Source organism: Homo sapiens, chromosome 12 (assembly GCF_000001405.40).
Source record: "Homo sapiens chromosome 12, GRCh38.p14 Primary Assembly".
Lineage (NCBI taxonomy): Eukaryota > Metazoa > Chordata > Mammalia > Primates > Hominidae > Homo > Homo sapiens.
The window spans coordinates 45,793,555-45,812,150 of record NC_000012.12 but is presented as its reverse complement, the minus strand read 5'-3'; the positions used below and the strand labels follow the sequence as shown (position 1 = coordinate 45,812,150).

At 34.4% G+C, this 18,596-nt stretch overlaps 1 protein-coding gene across 3 annotated transcripts in view; it reads right to left on the bottom strand.

Annotated features, from left to right (window-relative positions):
* Window positions 1-18,596, bottom strand: part of ARID2 (AT-rich interaction domain 2) — a 178,332-nt gene that overhangs the window by 95,887 nt on the left and 63,849 nt on the right. For all 3 annotated transcript variants that reach the window (NM_152641.4, NM_001347839.2, XM_047428489.1), the window contains exon 4: window positions 600-733. In NM_152641.4, the coding sequence (NP_689854.2) occupies window positions 600-733 (134 nt within the window). The remainder of the gene's footprint in view (window positions 1-599; window positions 734-18,596) is intronic.

Here is an 18,596-nt window from a genome sequence, read left to right as displayed (position 1 = left end):
CCTAGTCATCACAGTCCTGACCTCCAGAGCCACTGAAAACTGGAGCCCGTCTACTCCACTCAAGAGAGTATCAACACTCGCGCTGATTTTTTTCCAACTTGATTTTTTTCAAGCTGTGGATTCCTCTATAACCATTACAAGCATGACAAGTGAAAAAAAAATCTTCCTGCTACCATGGCAGGAAAATAGAATAATCAGAAACATTTCTGAGAATTCTGATGCTGGAAATCCCATTAATGTTAGAAAATCTAATAGACTCTATAAGAAAATTCTTGGTCTCCTGAATCCTAACAGGATCTTCCTCTTCTTATTTTAGTGACTATTTAGGATAAACTGATCATTAGTTAGAGCAATAAGGAAAAATCATTACTTGGAAGTGAAAGTGTTTTATAACTAAAAATTCCTGCAACTAAAATTCTCAAGTAACCTGTGAGAGAAAGGGCTCTGATACCAATTAGATGTCAATCTTTGAAAGCTGCATTACCTTAAGGCCTTAAGTGTTCTCATGTGCAAAGGAAGGGACTAACTCATTGGATGATGTCTATTTTCCTAATTCAAAACTGCGGACATATATCCTGTTAATTTGCAGTGATATTTACCCGACACACTGTGTTGCTGGTAATTGTAGGAAGATGGAATTGCACCAATAGGAAGCTGTGGCTTTGGATTGCCTGGTGGTACCTCATCATCATCCTCCCCAAAATGATGAACTTTCTCGTACTTTTCTAGGTAACTGAAACAGAAAAACAGCACAGCAAACATTTAAAAATAGATTTATATCTTATTTTTAACTCTCACCACATATTTGTTTTCCTTTTCTAAACAATAATCTAAAAAAATTAATAAAAATACCATAAACCTCTTATATTAGAACAGTAACTCCAGTTTAGAGTAAGATAAACCGCAGATAAACTCAATGCAATGGTTCTTTTTTTTTTTTTTGAGACAGAGTCTCGCTCTGTCGCCCAGGCTGGAGTGCAGTGGTGCGATCTCAGCTCACTGCAAGCTCCGCCTCCAGGGATCACGCCATTCTCCTGCCTCAGCCTCCCAGGTAGCTGGGACTACAGGCGACTGCCACCACACCCGGCTAATTTTTTGTATTTTTTGTAGAGACGGGGTTTCACCGTGTTAGCTAGGATGGTCTCAATTTCCTGACCTCGTGACCCACCCACCTCGGCCTCCCAAAGTGCTGGGATTACAGGCATGAGCCACCGCGCCCGGCCTCAATGCAATGGTTCTAAAAGTATTTTTATATTTTCAGAAAAGACCATACCACTATTCAAATAACAATATAAAAATAGGGAATATCAGATGACAACTACATGTAGATGAATAGTACCTTTATTTATTTGTAAAAATTATACATGGTCATTATAAAAACAATATGAAAATTAGAAGATTCTGTAACCCTTGACCTCTACAAATTCACTTATCAGCAATAACAACAGGTTCATGTGCAAACCTGAGTATATTTTCTGAGAATATCTTTATTTAATAATATATTTTAGAGGTCTAAATATACCAATACATACTGCACTACCTCATTCTTTTGTAACATTCTTTTGTATAGCATTTGATCCTATTGATACATTATAAATTTAAATAGTTCTCTAGCAATACATTTAGGGTATTTTCAGTTTTGTTTTTTGGTAATAAACTTAATCTGTACACTTGTTTGAATATTTTCTCTTGATATTAGAAAGGTATGATCATTTTAAACATCAATATAGCCAAACTGCAATCCAAAAGTACTATGCCTAATACATTTTGACCAATTTATAAGACAGTGTATCCCCCCACTGTATCACCATTACTGAGTATAATCAATCTTAATATTAACTAGGATTGAATTTTCAAATTCATAATACCTCATCATCTACCAGTTTATAGTAAGATTTCCAAGTAAGATGTGATTTTAAAACAGGGAAACAACTGGTCGAAACCATGTCAAACACAACACTATTCTAACATAGCTGTTACTATGCTTCACAGATAAGAAGTTAAACTGATTGATATATAATGACTTACATTTACCAAAGAAAAGTTCTACATGTGATTATTTTACAGATCAATCCTTCTACCATTCCTGATCTAGGCAGGTGCTTAGTCCATTTGGAGCTACTTAAAAGCTTGGCAGCTACCTACCCTCTGCTTTTTTAAGACAGCTGAGGTAAGGGAGGTGGGTATCAATGAACATGTAAGAGTATCCTGGAAGTATTATTTTTAGTACCAAACCTTAAATTTCAAAGAGGGATGAATGGAAGCTATAATTTTATAAATATAAAAACTAATGACATGAAAAATCATTATCATTCCTCATTTTCCCCTTCCAGCTTTACAAGACACAATAATTCACATCCTTGAACCTGGAAAAGAATTAAACTGTCCCTTTCCATTACTTCCAAGTTCCCCACATAAGCCTAATTTGAGCAAGAAACTCTTTCCTAGCAGGTAGCTTGATAGATAATGAATCCAATATTTTTCTTTATGGTTGTAGATAAAACATACTGAAGCAGAGACATATACACAGATATAATCCTTGAGCATTGAAAATGGTAGGCAAGTGTACACATTTCAACCTGACTCTGAGTATGTCCCTTGCAGACAGAATTTACAGTCTAAGAACACAAAACAGAACAAAAAGATGATTAAGAAGGGGCAGTCATTCTCTAGCATAAACCCACAACAAACTTAAGTAGGTAAATGAATCAAGCTCATTCTTTTTAAATTGCTAAAGCAGGTATCACAGAAAGAAAAATATATATAAATGTAGACATAAAAAGTACACTGGAAAAACAGGTGCTCAAAATTTATGTGGCATCTTTACTGCAAATGAAGGATAATATATGTCACACAAAATCACTTGGATATAATAGTATTCATAAAGGTATTTTACATAGTACAATCTTTTAGAATTGTTTGAACTCATTGTGGAATGGTTAAAACAGACTACAGATAAATAATCTTTATAAAATAATTGTTATCTAATCAAAATAACAATGAAGACCATTAAATAACAGGTTTAGGATGCTCTTCATAAGTTGTTATCATTTAGTACAGTAGATTTAAAATTTACGTGTTTTTTAGGGTGGGTGCAGTGGCTCACGCCTGTAATCCCAGCACTTTGGGAGGTGAGGTGGGAGTATCTCTTGAGGCCAAGAGTTCGAGGCCAGCATGGCCAACACAGCAAAACGCCATCTCTACTAAGAAATACAAAAATTAGCTGGATGTGGTGGCGCACGCCTGTAATCCCAGCTACTCAGGTGGCTGAAGTACAAGAATTGTTTGAATCTGGGAGGCCGAGGTTACAGTGAGCCAAGATTGTGCCACTGCACTCCAGCTGCCTGGACGATAGGGCAAAACTTCGTCTCAACACACACACACACACATACACACACACACACACACACACACGCACGCAAACACACATTTTTAATAACGGCCGGGAGAGAAAGCAACATTGTTAGTAAAGAAAGGCTATAAACAGGAACTCGTCCCTCCCAGAACACCCAAAATGGAACGTAAGAGATGTGGAGTGAACTGACAACACTATATACTCATAATAAACCATATATATTATATATATAAAACCCCATATAATTCAAAGTTTCATTAGGTTTTAAAAATACATCATTTCTGGTCCCTTGTAATAGTCTAACAGTATTCTTCCAAACAGATTCTTTGCACAATTCCAATCCCCAGAAATTTATGATTTAGGCTGTTATGATTTTGAAATTTTTATTTCCCTGGCTTGAAGACCAGTACTTGTTCTCACTGCCATTATTAAATATTTCCAACTGAGATGCAAAAAGATTTTGGCACCCTCTCAATAAATAAGCACAAGGTCAGTTTGTTTGGTTTTTCAGTTATACTTCTAAAAACTAAAAAGTATTAACAAACCAGAGAACACAGCTAAAACACAAAGTTACATTTCAAAGTGCAAGTGTTCTGATTTAATTCCCTAACATGACCTTGAGTTTACATATCAACAGATCTACTGTGTTCACCCATTAAACTACAAATGCTAGACTGCACATCTTTCTCCTCAAAAATCGATGACATAACTTTGAACAGTTAACATATTATTCAAACAAATATTTGCTGAGCTCCTATAGTAATCTGCCTAGTACATTACATATTTAACTCAAAACTAGTGAAATATTGTAATCCAGAAAGCTTAAATGTGACCAATATAATGGGGGAAAAAGAGTTCATTCAAAACAGCATCAAATAATATCAGCACTATTACAGTGACTTTGGGGAAATTTAATGTATCTCTTACAATATCTGACAGATTAAGTAGACAAAGAAATAAATTAGGTTACAGAAGACTTGAATATCATCACCAAGATGGTATTGGACACATAATGACTTCCTTTTAGAATCTTAATGGAAATTTTAAAACTGATCATGTATCAATTCACACAGAAAACTACAATAAATTTAAGATTATATGTTATATAGGGCACATTTTCTAACCACAATGCAATTCAAGAAATTTTTTTCTTAGAAGAAATCAAATTCTTGTAAAATTAGAACTAATTTTTTCTTATGTGAAATTCCAAACCCATAGGCAAAACTATAAAGACTAGCACAATAGTATCTATCAATAGATATCAATTTATGGTCAATCTTGTTTTATCACAACCACAGTTACCCATCTTGACAACCAAATCTCTCTCAGATTTTTTTAAAGCAATTCTCAGATATCATATAACCTCATCTGTAAATATTTTGGTAGAATACTTATAAACTGAAACAATAACCACCACCACTACCAATCAAGAAAACTCTTGACTATTCTTGGATCAAGGAAAAAAAATTAACTCTGTATGACAGAAACACTTCCATATTAACAAAACCTTTTGAAATGTTACAAAAAAAGATGATAGGGCAAGGACTCATATTCACTTCTCCCTTTAAATCCAATTACAATAAACTTTAGAGAGAAAAATAAAGAGGTATTAGCATAATTTCTCAGTTAAAAACTTTCATAAATTCTGATACATTTAAAGCAACTTCAAGGATTCACAAGGCCAACTTACAAAACACATCTTGAGAAAGTAATATGGTCTGGTGGATCCTAGGCCCAAACACTTAAAAAGGCAAGTTCAATTTGGATTTCCCTTAGCTCCTGAGGAGCTACAGAAAGTGATGGTGTGTTTCAAAAGGGGACCCAGAGAGTAACAACTATTTTTTAAAAGATTTATTGAAAGTTGGGTTGAAATAGTTGGTTTTCCAAGAAAGCAAGGTCCTTTATAAACTTCAACTTGTAACTTCTTTGTCAAAATGAGTCCAAAGACCAAGGGGATGTGAAGCAACTATGAGAAGCACCAGCACGGAATGACTGGTGTCATCCGGTGACAGGGACCTACACTGATGTGATAACTTCAAGATGAAAACACTAGGCAAAAAAATCCAGTACAGTAGCTTGGAAACCATAAAAATAATAAAGTTTCTCTTCCAGGATTTCCAAAAGAGAGAGAAAAACAGAGAGATATGAGAGAGCATTAAAGAGTAAATTTGACAATGTAGATCACATCGGTAATGTACAAAGTAAGCCTGAGAAACTGTTCTATATGGAAAGGAAATAAACTAATGGAAATAAGTGGTGGACAAAAATGAAAGATATGTATGATAAATAAAAGCTCAAACACAGAAAAAATTTTAAAACCAGTAGTCCTATAGGAGAGACCGGAATAAATGAAACAGAAGCAATAATCATTGATGTAATAGAAGAATGTCTTTAACTGAAAGGCATGAAAGGATGTAAACATCAAAAAGTTCCCTGGGGCTAGGGTGTCCGGGTACATGGGTCACCAGGCAAAATGTAAAGAAAATTGAAAAATACTCAGATACATCTTGATCAAAGATTTAAGCTTCAAAAATAGAGAAGATTCTTAGAACTATCCAGAACCACCATCTCGCCCCCACCAAAAAAAAAAAATTACACAGAACATTTGAATCAGGCTCTGATTTCTCTCCAAAAATTAATTGCCAGAAGATAATGAACAGAGTTTGAGAAGAAAGGTTATTTCACAGGAGTTTCCTACCCAATTATGTTTCTCACCTAAGACAACAGAAATTCATTTTCAGATATGCAGACTCAGAAAGAATAAAGCCACATGGCTCTCTAGACAAAAACAAACAAACAAACAGTCTGATAGATGAAACAAAATTAAGAAATGGTTAGAAACACAGAACAGAATGGTGATTACCAAGGGGGAAAGTGGTAGGGGAAAAAGGGAGATGCTGGTCAATGGGTACAAACATTCAGCTACAATATGAATAAGTTCAGAAGATCTAATATACAGGATGGGGATTTTAGGTAACAATACTGAATTATATACTTTATTTGAAATTTGCTTAGATGTTCTCACCACAAAACAAAAAGGGTAACTAGGTAAGGTGATAGATGTGTTAAACTAACTTAACTGTGGTAATCATTTCACAAAACATGTATACCAAACCATCATGTTGTACACCTTAAAATCATACAATTTTATTAGTCAATTGTACCTCAATAAAGCTGGAAAATTTTTTAAAATGTCGGAATGGTTAGGTAGCAATACAGATGACTAATAATAGGTACAGAAAGTAAACTCAGATATTAGTCTCAATAATAACCATTATATATACACAAGAGAAAGCAATTGTGATTGGTAATTAAGAATATAAAGATATAAAACTATTAAAATAATTTGAAAACAATACTCCTCATCTGAATTTTCAAGAACTTTTCCACATAAATGGGAGAAGAAAACTAGTAAGAATTAAAGCTCTACTCTGTATGTTACTTGTATAGGAAGACTGAACAAAAGGTTTATTCTCACAGTTAATATTAAGGTAAATAGGTTATCAGCTGTTTTCTAATTTTTTTCAAGTGCCTAACACAAAAATTAAAGTCAGGATCATTACTTTCAAAATCACCATAGGGAAATAAAAATGACAGCAAATATAAATATACAGAAAAAAGGAGAAAATAAAGACTATCCTATCATGCAGCAAATCCACTCTGAGGCATACACCCTAAAATAAAACCAACTGGAAACAACACAAACATCCATAAAGGAAAGCATAGATAAAAATACTGTGGCATATTGAGGCAATAAAATACTATATGGCAGTAAAAATTAACAAACTGAAATGGACCCATACAAACAGCCATCAACAACAAAATGGTAAGTAAAAGAAAATCATTTCAGAAGAATACATTATAATTCCACTTATATGAAGATCATAAGCATGCAAAAAATCGAATATATTTGTAGCAACAGACAAGTATGTAGTAAGTGACAAAGAAAAGCAACATAATGATTATCACCTAGAGGACAAGCTAAAGTCTGCCATTCTACAGAGGCTTCAAAGGTATTAGTAAGGTTAAATTTTTTGGAGGTGGGGGTTTAGATGATGTATTAAGCTTTTTTGTGTGTGCATGATATATTTCACAATTTAAAAATTTTTTTAACATCAAAAAACCAGTAGTCAATTATTTCAAACTTTCCAAGAACAGACATTTCCATTGCTATGTAAAATGTTTCCAACTATAGAAAAAGATTGGAAGCTATGCTGAAAATCGTAATCCAGTAAAACCCTGATAAACTTCATAAAAGTTGCAGTTAAAAAAAAGACTACATACAGACACACACACACACACACACGCACACACACGCACACACTAGAAAAACTAATTTACTCATTAAACACAACCACCACAACCCAAGACTATAAGATTTTATTGTGGAAGTCCAGTGATAGTTCAATATTGAAAATTTCATAACAATTAAACTCATCTGTAGATCAAAGAAAAATGACATTATGTAAACAAAGGATGCCAAAGGGAATTTAATAAAATGAAGCCGCATGCTTTGCTGGAAAAAAAATTTAATTAATGAAGAATCTCAGAATACTTCTACTTTTGGATCTCTCCTATGACTCCTTTGTTGTGCAATTCAGAGAATTTCCAATGTAACTCCTTTTTCCAGTACAGGCCTTCTCAGGACTTCACAAGCCAACTTCAGCCACAACAGTACTTGCTTCTGTAGAAGAAATGTCCTTCAAAGTGGGGCACACACATAAGATACTCCAATAGGGAAAGACATTTAATTTATGCATTGACACTGTCTCCTCTCTCCCTCTCTTCATATATCAGGCACTCCATATGTTACTCATCCTACTTCAGACAAAGTGGAATGCATAAGAGAGGAACCGTCACTCATTTGTTAGCTTTTGACAAGTGGAACCTTTACTCATTCGTTATTTTCTATTTACTAATGTCTGCGTGTGTCTAGGTTAAGTCAACTTAAAGATGTATTATCTAACTTTAATTAAACCATCTCTCACAAAAAGGACAACTAAATTTAATAGATTCCTCCAAAGAAACCAGTTTGAATAATGCAAACAAAACTAAACAATAAAGTGGCAGAGTAGACGCTTCTCACCTGAACCTATTGTCAACCATACTATGCAATAAAAACAATGAAAATGCAATAAGATATGAAAGAAGTAGGCCAAAAGATTTCTATATTACCAAAAGAAGATCTAAACTATAAATTTACATGCCCCCACAATGATTAACCTTGTCCTAGGTTAATGCTGTACTTTTTGTTACGTGATGCTTTGCAATATGCTTACAACTAAGTATCCAGAATTTGAAGTACTTTGTTAAAGTTTAAAATGAAATATTATTTCAAGCAAGGATACTGATAAATATTTACCAGTCATTTCAGAAGCTAACTTCTGTATCACTGAAGACAAATGTTTTCATTTTCTCATGATAAAAGTGGCTAAATTAATACATGGAAGATATGGCAAAAAAAATACTGTTGGAAAATGATAAGAAAACACTACTGAAGAGTTGAAGAAACAAGGATTAGAGCAAATTACACTGTGTGGGAGGTTTCTATATAGCTGAATTCAAGTACAGATGTTTCTAACATGTCTGAGCTTATGGTATTTACTAGATTCTCTTTCAAAAACAAAATTCACAAAGAACTACTTTTTAGTGAGTCATTAAAGGAAAGCTCTAACATGGAAGATATGTTCTCATAAGCAAATAATTTTTTTTTAGAAAAAAAGACTTTCAGAAAAACATGTTAATTCTACTTAAAGCCACAATGAATAAGCAGGTGCTTTAATTGGAAAAGAAAAGAAAATGAGGGGAGAGGATAGCGGGAAAAGAAAAGGAAAAAGGAAGGGGAAAAGAAGGGAAGATTACGGGGTAAGATTAGACATGTGAAAATCATTTATTATGTCATTCACAGGCAGACGAACGTGGCAAAGAAGTTGAAAGTCGGCAATGCCAAAAGTGTTACAAGATGATTTCAATGTAGTAAACAAGGTTTTAGACATACAGCAAAATTTACTTTGTGACTTTTATGATCACATAATGAATTGACTCACGAAAAAAAATTTTTTTTTCTTTACCACACAGTGTTTCTTGGTGGTGTAAGTACTCTTGAAGCTTATTTATAAGTGATGCCAATCTTGAGAAGAGTTATATGCCTTACTTCTCAAAAGCCCAACTTTACTAACTTTCCTGTGATAACATTAGATGATGAGCAATATCTTACCTAGCAGATAATTTAGAAAACAAGGCAATAAAGACAATCTACCCGTTACAATAAAGGTGAAATTCTAACAATAAATAGAAAGTAATTACTTTTAAAAGAAATTCACGCAATATGGAACATTTTTTAAAGGGTGTTTTTTAAAAAGTATTTTCTCTCTACCATGTGCCTTTGTGACTGAAAATACTGTGCAAATGTCACATATTAAAACTCTTTGGCAGGCACAGTGGTTCATGCCTATAATTCCAACACTTTGGGAGGCCGGGTGTGAGGATCACCTGAGCCCAAGAGTTTTGAGACCAGCCTGGGCAACCATAGTGAGACTCCAACTCTACAAAAAATAAAAAATTAGCCAAGAGTGGTGGTGCACGCCTGTAGTCCTAGCTACTGGGAAGGATGAGGTAAGAGGATCACTTAAGCCCGGAAGGTTGAGGATGCAGTGAGCTGTGATTGTGCCACTGCACTCCAGCCTTGGCAACAGAGAGAGACCCTGTCGTCTCGGGGGTGGGTGGGGGTGGGGGAGCCAAACGAAAAACAAAACTCTTATATCTACACTGAGCCAGAAAAAAGGATTTTCCAAATAATTTAAAAACCTCCCTTAAGTTTCTGTAGGCTTGAACCCTTTAAAAACAACTTTTATACTGATACAGATTCATACTTTAAAGTTACAACAATATTCAAAGAATTCATTTATCCTTCATCCAGATCCAGATACACCAATTGTTTATATGTTGCTTCATTTACCTTATCCTATTCTCATTCTTTCTCTCTCTCTCTGTCCCCCACCCCCCAATACACACATTTTTTGTGTGTGAACCACTTAAAAACAAGTGGTTTCTCCTTGTTTTTCATGACCTTGACATCTTTCAAGAGTATAGGGTGGCGATTTTGCAGAATGTCCTGCAATTCGGGTTTATTTGATATGTCTTAATAATTAAATTAGACACAGAGAATGTATTTTTTGAAGGAATACTACAGATGTGAATTGTTACCCTAGTGTATATATTAAGAGGCACATCATGTCTATTTGTCTCACAGTTGGCGCTTTTACTTTGATTACTTTGTTGTTAAGGTTGGGATTGCTAGGTTATCACACTATGAAGTTATCCTTTTCCTTTTAGAAATTACTAATTTACAGAAAAACACTTTAAGTCTAAATATCCTGTTCCTTTTCAACCTTGTACCTGCTAGTTTTAGCATCCATTGATTCTCGACTAAGTCACTGTGAAAGTAATTTTTCTTTTTTTACTTTTTTTTTTTTTCTTTTTTTGAGACGGAGTCTCACTCTTTTGCCCAGGCCGGACTGCAGTGGCGCTATCTCGGCTCACTGCAAACTCCACCTCCCGGGTTCACGCCATTCTCCTGCCTCAGCCTACCAAGTAGCTGCGACTACGGGCGCCTACCACCGCGCGTGGCTAATTTTTTGTATTTTTAGTAGAGATGAGGTTTCACCATGTTAGCCAGGATGGTCTCGATCTCCTGACCTCGTGATCCGCCCACCTCAGCCTCCCAAAGCGCTGGGATTACAGGCGTGAGAAAGTAATTTTTCTAACTCCATTATTCCTTCAACATTTATTAGTTGGCATTCGACTGTGAGTACTTTCCATCCTCTCTCGTTTATTTACTCATTATTTATACTACCATGGATTCAGAGAGTCTCCTCTTACTTCATGGGTATTACATTCCTATCGTTATTCAGTCAAATGCTCAAGTTATCCTAGATTTGGCATCTGTATCCTTTAGACAGTGTCCCAGATTTGGCCACTGGGATCCCTTTCAAGCTGGCTCCTATGTACTTTTGATGTGTCCTTATCATTTTTTTTAGCAGTTTCTTACTTTATATTTATAGCACAATAAGATATTCCAGGCTTATCTCGTATTTTCCCTGCTTCAGCCCTAGAATCCCTCTTTCTCCCCAATAAACACTGCTTTTCAGTGATGAATGGTATTTAGAAACCAATTATCTGGACACTAGGTGTGCTCAATGCTTAAAGAGGTATCTTTATTTCTAGGACCTTCCATTATACAAAACTAAGAAATATAAACAAATGCATGCACACGTTTATAAATTTCTTTATCTCTAAAAGGATAAAATCATAGCAACATCTCTAATATCAATTCAACATCACAGTTATCTCTTTTCATATTTTAAACTTTTTTCTCCAGTACTGAGAAATCTGGCTCATGTTATTCTCAATAAAATTGCACATTTGCTCAATCCTAAAGTAAACAAACCTAGAATTTAATATGAATTTTACAGTTCTTTGTGTCTTCAGATAAATGGTATAGTATTTGAACTACTAATTCACTTGTTTCTGTTTTTATTCCATTTTTGGTTTACTCTGCCACGTTATTGTATCTATTTAATTTTATTATTACTTATATTTTTTGTTAACTATCTATGAGTCTATTTTCAGTACGAAAATTAAATTTTCTGGGCACAGAGGCTCACACCTGTAATCCCATCACTTTGGGAAGCTGAGGTGGGTGAACTGCATGATCCCAGGAGTTCGAGACTGCCTGGCCAACATAGTGAGACCCCCATCTCTACATAAAATTTAAAAATTGGCTAGGTGTGGTGGCACACACCTGTTGTCCCAGCTACTCGGAGGGCTAAGGTGGGAGAATCACTTGAGCCTGGGAAGTAGAAGATGCAGTGATCCATCATTGCGCTACCACACTCCAGGCTGGGCAACAAACTGAGACCTTGTCTGAAGGGGAAAAAAAAGAAAATAAAACTAAATTTATGGGTTTTAGCTAAAGTCATGATGGGGTAATTTATGTAATGTGTTGCTTTGTTCTTTCATTTTGTTTTCTATATCTTTTGGTATTTAGTAAAATCTGTGTTTTTGTTATATTGATTACCTTGGTACTTACACATTTGCAATGCCTTAACCCATTCTCTTATTTTGTCATCTGGCATGTCAACTTTCAGTAGTATCTTTTGACTCCCAACTATTGCTTTTATAACAACAAAGGTTTATTGTATTTTCCTCTTTACTTCTTCCTTTATAGTTGCATTATTTCTACTTTGTAAAGATATAACAGATTTACATATTACACTGACCCAAATTTTGCAAGAAAAATTGATGGGCAAGATGAAAATAAATAAATTTCAACAAAAAAAATGTGCACCACTGACAGATGGGATTTTAAAATAAGGGATCATGATTTATTAAGTGTACATAATGATGCATTTGTTCCATGTTCATCCATGTATTGTTCTTCCACTGAGGAAAAGCAAGTATCAAAATAAACTGAATCTAAAAACAAACCTTCCAATCAATGCATGACAAACTATTAAAGTGATTTAAAGCCTACTACAATTCATTCAACAAATACTTATTAAGCACTTACTATGTGCCAGACATTGTTTCATATGCTCAGAATACTGTGTAAACAAAGCAGACACATATTGCTATCCCCATGAGGCTAACAGTCTCATGGGGAGAGACAAACAATAAGAATAATAAAATACTTTTTTAAAAAATTATAAAAGCTTTTTATGTGGTTAAAATAAAATTTTAAATAGAATTTATTTCACTTTATTAAAAACTTACTTCTTGTATATTTTTATTTTAATACCCAGGTTAATATATTAGGGAGAGTACCTCAATTTTTCACTTAATTATAAGTATATAATTATACTTATATGTAATTATAAGAATATAATTACAGTCTGAAGAAAAGAGATTTCTAGAGGAAAACACTAAGAGTTTCTGGATTTAAAGCTGGATGGAAGAAGTAACTTATGAGCCTTTGGGTTGTCTCCCCTTAGAGAATGAATAAAGTATTTACAGGTATAAGTAGAACCATTACAATTTACTACGTTGAAGAGCTCTTATATTGTTTACTTCAAATGTTTGTATGAGAAGAAGGGTTGCATATAGATATTAAGCAACCAAAAATGATAACTGTATTGCTTGTTTGTTGATATCCCACATTCAAGTACCTTACTTTTAGAAGAACTTGCTTAACTGATGGGCATTAGAGTCTGGCTTAAACTATAAATCCTAAAAGCTTGAAAAAGCCTACTCTCCACTTCCAGGCAGCTAAAGCATGAACAGATAACACCCTTGTCCAGATGGATTCTCCTGCCTGAAATTTTGAATTTTTAGGGAAGAACAAACATAGGTTATTCAAAGCAGTGGCAGTAGGAGGTGAGAGACTAATTCCTGGTTTTCCAGATTTCCTGTAAATATCTCTTCTGAAATTAGCCAAGACTGATTTACATTGTTTGTAACTTGTCACAGTCTATGACACAATAAATTCCACTTCGAGAAATTTATCCTACATTGCATGTTAGCAAAGAATAGGATAAGGATGTAGAATATTACGGTAGTTTTTGACAAAAAAATACTGGAAAAAAAAAACACGTTCAAACAATAATAAACTATTGTTTTAGATTCTTAAGTTGGATTAGTATATAGCTGTAAAAAGTGAGAAAATTAGTTAGATCTGTATTTGGTGACACATAGTAAAAAAGGGTACAGAGCAACTGTGTATATGGTGTATTTCTATCTAGGTAATAAAAAGAAGATTAGCTATATGCTTGCAAATGAACCATATATTTTTAGAATGAAATAAAGAAACTATAATAGCAGTTAGCCTCATAGTAGAGACTTTCCCATCCTTTACATTATTTATTTTCTTTTTAAGAATGTGCTTGATGACTTTTCAATAAAAAGATCAAATTAAAAAATAATATATTAAAAGATACAATATTTAAAACAAAATGAAGAGCTGAATCAATAATTCTCTGATATAAAAAGCTAGTATTTCATATACACGTGAAGAAAGAATAGCATTTTCAATAATTAATTCTGCGATAAATCATTAGTGCAAAACAAAAAAAATTAATTTTTTTTACCTCATGCCATACTAAGCAAATTCCAGGTGAGTAAGAAATTTAAATGTAAAATTTTTAAAAAAGAAGAAAATGTGTCAATATATTTATAATATTAAAGAGCAAGGAAGGCTCTTCTTAGCATGAGAAATCATTATCTCCAAGAAAGACTAAGATATTTATCTCATTAAAATTTAAAAACGGCTGGGAGTGGTGGCTCACAACTGTAATGCCAGCACTTTGGGAGGCCAAGGCAGGTGGATCACCTGAGATCAGGAGTTCAAGACCAGCCTAGCCAACATGGCGAAACCCATCTCTACTAAAAATATAAAAATTAGCTGGGCATGGTGGTGCACACCTGTAATCTCAGCTACTCAGGAGGCTGAGGCAGGAGAATCACTTGAATCCAGGAGGCAGAGGTTGCAGTGAGCCGAGATCACGCCACTGCACTCCAGCCTGGACCACAGAGTGAGGCTCAGTGTCAAGAAATAAACAAATAATAAAAATAAAATAAAATTTAAAAACTTAGGCAAAGTATAACACAATACTAAATGATAAACAATAGCCTAGAAAACTATGTGTTTGTGTGTGTATGTATGTATATTAAATTACTTTAAATCATTATAAAAAGGATTGATATTATAATTTTTAAAATGAGCAATGACATGATTTTTTAAAACAAAGTAATATTTGATGCACACGAGAAACACAGATGTAAAATGTGAAATGTGTTTGAAAAACTATAATATCCAGTTTTGGCAAAGGTTTAGGTAAACAGAAACTCATACAGAGAGTAGAAATACATAGTGTTATATCGGTTCTGAAGGATAATTTAACAATATTCTCTATAAAAGCATTAAAAACATGAGTATCATTTGATCTCAGAGATCTTTCTCCTACCAAATAACACTTAGAAAATAAACATGTTGGCCAGGCGCAATGGTTCACATCAGTATTCACTCTGGGAGGCCAAGGTGGGCAGATCACTTAAGGTTAGGAGTTCGAGACCAGCCTGGCCAATGTGGTAAACCCCATCTTTACTAAAATCACAAAAATTAGCTGGGCATGGTGGCATGTGCCTGTAATCCCAGCTACTCTGGAGACTAAAGCAGGCGAACTGCTTGAACCCAGGAGGCGGAGGTTGCAGTGAGCCGAGATTGCACTACTGCACTCCAGCCTGGACGACAGAGCAATACTTCATCTCCAAAATAAAATAAAATAAAATAAAATAAACATGTTATTCACAGATTCATTCAAAGACATCGTTATAGATTTATATATAGATGACATATAGTTTCAAAGATTTACCAAAAAAACTCAAACTGTCACTGCTTATAAGGAAGAAAAACAACCTAACTATCCAACAGGGAACTACTATACTAAGTTTTTATGCAAGAAAAGTCCATGTGGCCCGTAAAAATAGTGGTGTAAAAGAATACTTAATAACATGTAAAAATATTTTAGATACTATGTAAAAATTAGAAAAAAATCATACAGTATGATTCTATTTAAATATTTGTAAGTGAATATATGTAAAATATATATTAAAAATTTTTGAATTTTATCAAGGAAAAAGGAGTAAACAGAAGTTATTCCTTCTGAGTTCTGAATAAGGAGAAAAACTTAGTTAAGATATAAATCATTTTTTAAGTGGTAGAGAAAGTGGTTTAAAAAAAGAAATCTAAATGTCAGTTTCTATTTTCTTAGTACATTAGAAAGATATCTAAAACGAGTACAGTAGACAGGAGCGGAGACCAGGGAATTTAAACAAATAACAAATCTTTAAAACAGCTTTTCTAGGAATAAAAGAGAGGGGATGTGGTCATTTATTGAGGCAGTAGTAGTGTTATATAGGAAAAGAGCCTTTAATTTGGAAAAAAGAGGATGGAGGAGACAGGAAGTGGGGAGCAAAGGCAAGTAAAGGAAAAGGAGGGATATAAAGAAAAGAAAATAAAGAAGAGAAGAACAAACAAGATAGGAGGAAAAGAAAAGAACAGAGAGGCCAGGCGCGGGGGCTCACGCCTATAATCCCAGCACTTTGGGAGGCCAAGGCGGGCGGATCACGAGGTCAGGAGATCGAGACCATCCTGGCTAACACAGTGAAACCCCGTCTCTAGTAAAAAATACAAAAAAAAATTAACCAGGCGTGGTGGCGGGCGCCTGTAGTCCCAGCTACTCAGGAGGCTGAGGCAGGAGAATGGCGTGAACCCGGGAGGCGGAGCTTTGCAGTGAGCCGAGATCGCACCACTGCACTCCAGCCTGGGCGACAGAGCGAGACTCCGTCTAAAAAAAAAATAAAAAAGAAAAAGAAAAGGAAGACGGAGGAAGAAAGCAGAGCAGAGTACCACAAGAAAAAACTGATACTATAAGAGAGTTATCATAAAATATCCAGAGGCTCCTGTGGCGTAGTATCATCAGCCAGAAAGTAGCAACCTCATGAGAACAGGAGTAGACTTGAGGTGATTGTACAATGGGTAGAAATGATCCCCTACAGGGTCAATGTTCTAGATGGGACTTTGATACTGGCACATGGAGGGTGCAAAAGATATAATACACTCCCATACTAAATATCACCCTTCATAAATATCTGAATTTATTTCTAAAATTATTATAAAACATAAAATGTATTTATATTTCTTGAATAATCTAAGAACTCTTCCATGTTTAAAAAAAAAACCTTGCAGAATATAAAAATTCCACACACAAAAAACGACAGGAGTGGAAAATTACAAGATAGTATGTTTTAGAGTGAAATGGAAAAAAGAAAGAAACTTGTGGGGAAAGTGCCCTGGAAACCTGAGGGGGCTGGGGGCATAAAGTATTACCATGCTAAGTTACTCAAGACAAAAATAATAGCTAAGTAGACAGAATATTAGAAAATTCTTTTTCAGAGTCAGTTCTACCACATAATTTATAAATTAGATTCATTATTTAATAACCACACTTTGTTTTCTGACCTCAGACAGTAAAACTGAATGCTCTGGCCAAATGAAAAAGAAAAATCTGTTACCATCGGGGAAGCTAGGGTTGTTTAACCAATTAAAGTACGCAAGACGAATGCCCTCTACCATTAGGGTAACACCATTACAAAAAAGAACACACCGGGAGCTATCCCTGGTGCTGCAATTAGCCCTAACTACTGGAGACCTGACCTAAAGACTAGTTTTCCTAACGCTGAGTCCAGGTCTACTCCTCCTATGATGACCTATTTGTCTGAATCTCACTAGTCTTATTTCAGCAAATTATACACTTACCTGTGCCTCCATAAGTGTATCCCTTCAAAATTTATTAGAAATTGCATGAAATAAAGAGATAGAGCAAAGGGTTCCAATGTAGGTCATTTATGCAAGATGTTTTCTTCATATTTTCCAATAATTTTTGAAAATTAATAACAAGAAAAAATCATACGCTGAGGTTGCTCAGCTCTATGGAAAGAACAAATATTCCATCCCTAAAATTGTGAAGAAGGAAAAATAAACTGCTAGTCTTGCTGTTGCACCTCAAACTGCAAACATTATGTCCACAGTGTGTGGTAAGTGCTTAGTTAAGAGAGAAAAGGCATTAAGTGTATGGGTGGAAGATGAACAGAAACGTGTTCTGATTGACGGCAACTGGGTTCCATATTACCTGCAGTTTCAGGTATCTACTGGGGGTCTTGGAACATACCCTCGAAGGGGGACTTCCATAAAAACACACTCAAAACTGCTCCAGATGCTGAAATTACCAAACACAGATTAAAACCCCAGGCAAGATTTTAAAAATTCATAACTGCTTACAACATAGTTTCAAAAACCAAAGACAAAAACAATTATTAAAGGTAGTCAGAGGAAAAAGAAGACATTTGCTTCAAAAAGGAAAGAATAGAAAAAATAAAAATATTTCCTAAAAAAAAGAAATGACTTTTTTTTTTAAAACCAGCAGACCTGCACTAAAAGATTAAGTTTCTAAATGGAGGTATGGAGATGTAATAAAAAGCCAAGAAAAAAAAAGTGTATATATATATATGTAGAATATCTTGCTGAGATATATATGTGTGTGTGTGTGTATATATAAATATGTAGAATATCTTGCTGAGATATATATGTATATATATTGTCCTCTGGGATTTAAATATAGACAATAGAAATATACAATGCTTATGACATATATAGCATATATATATAATACATATACACACACAC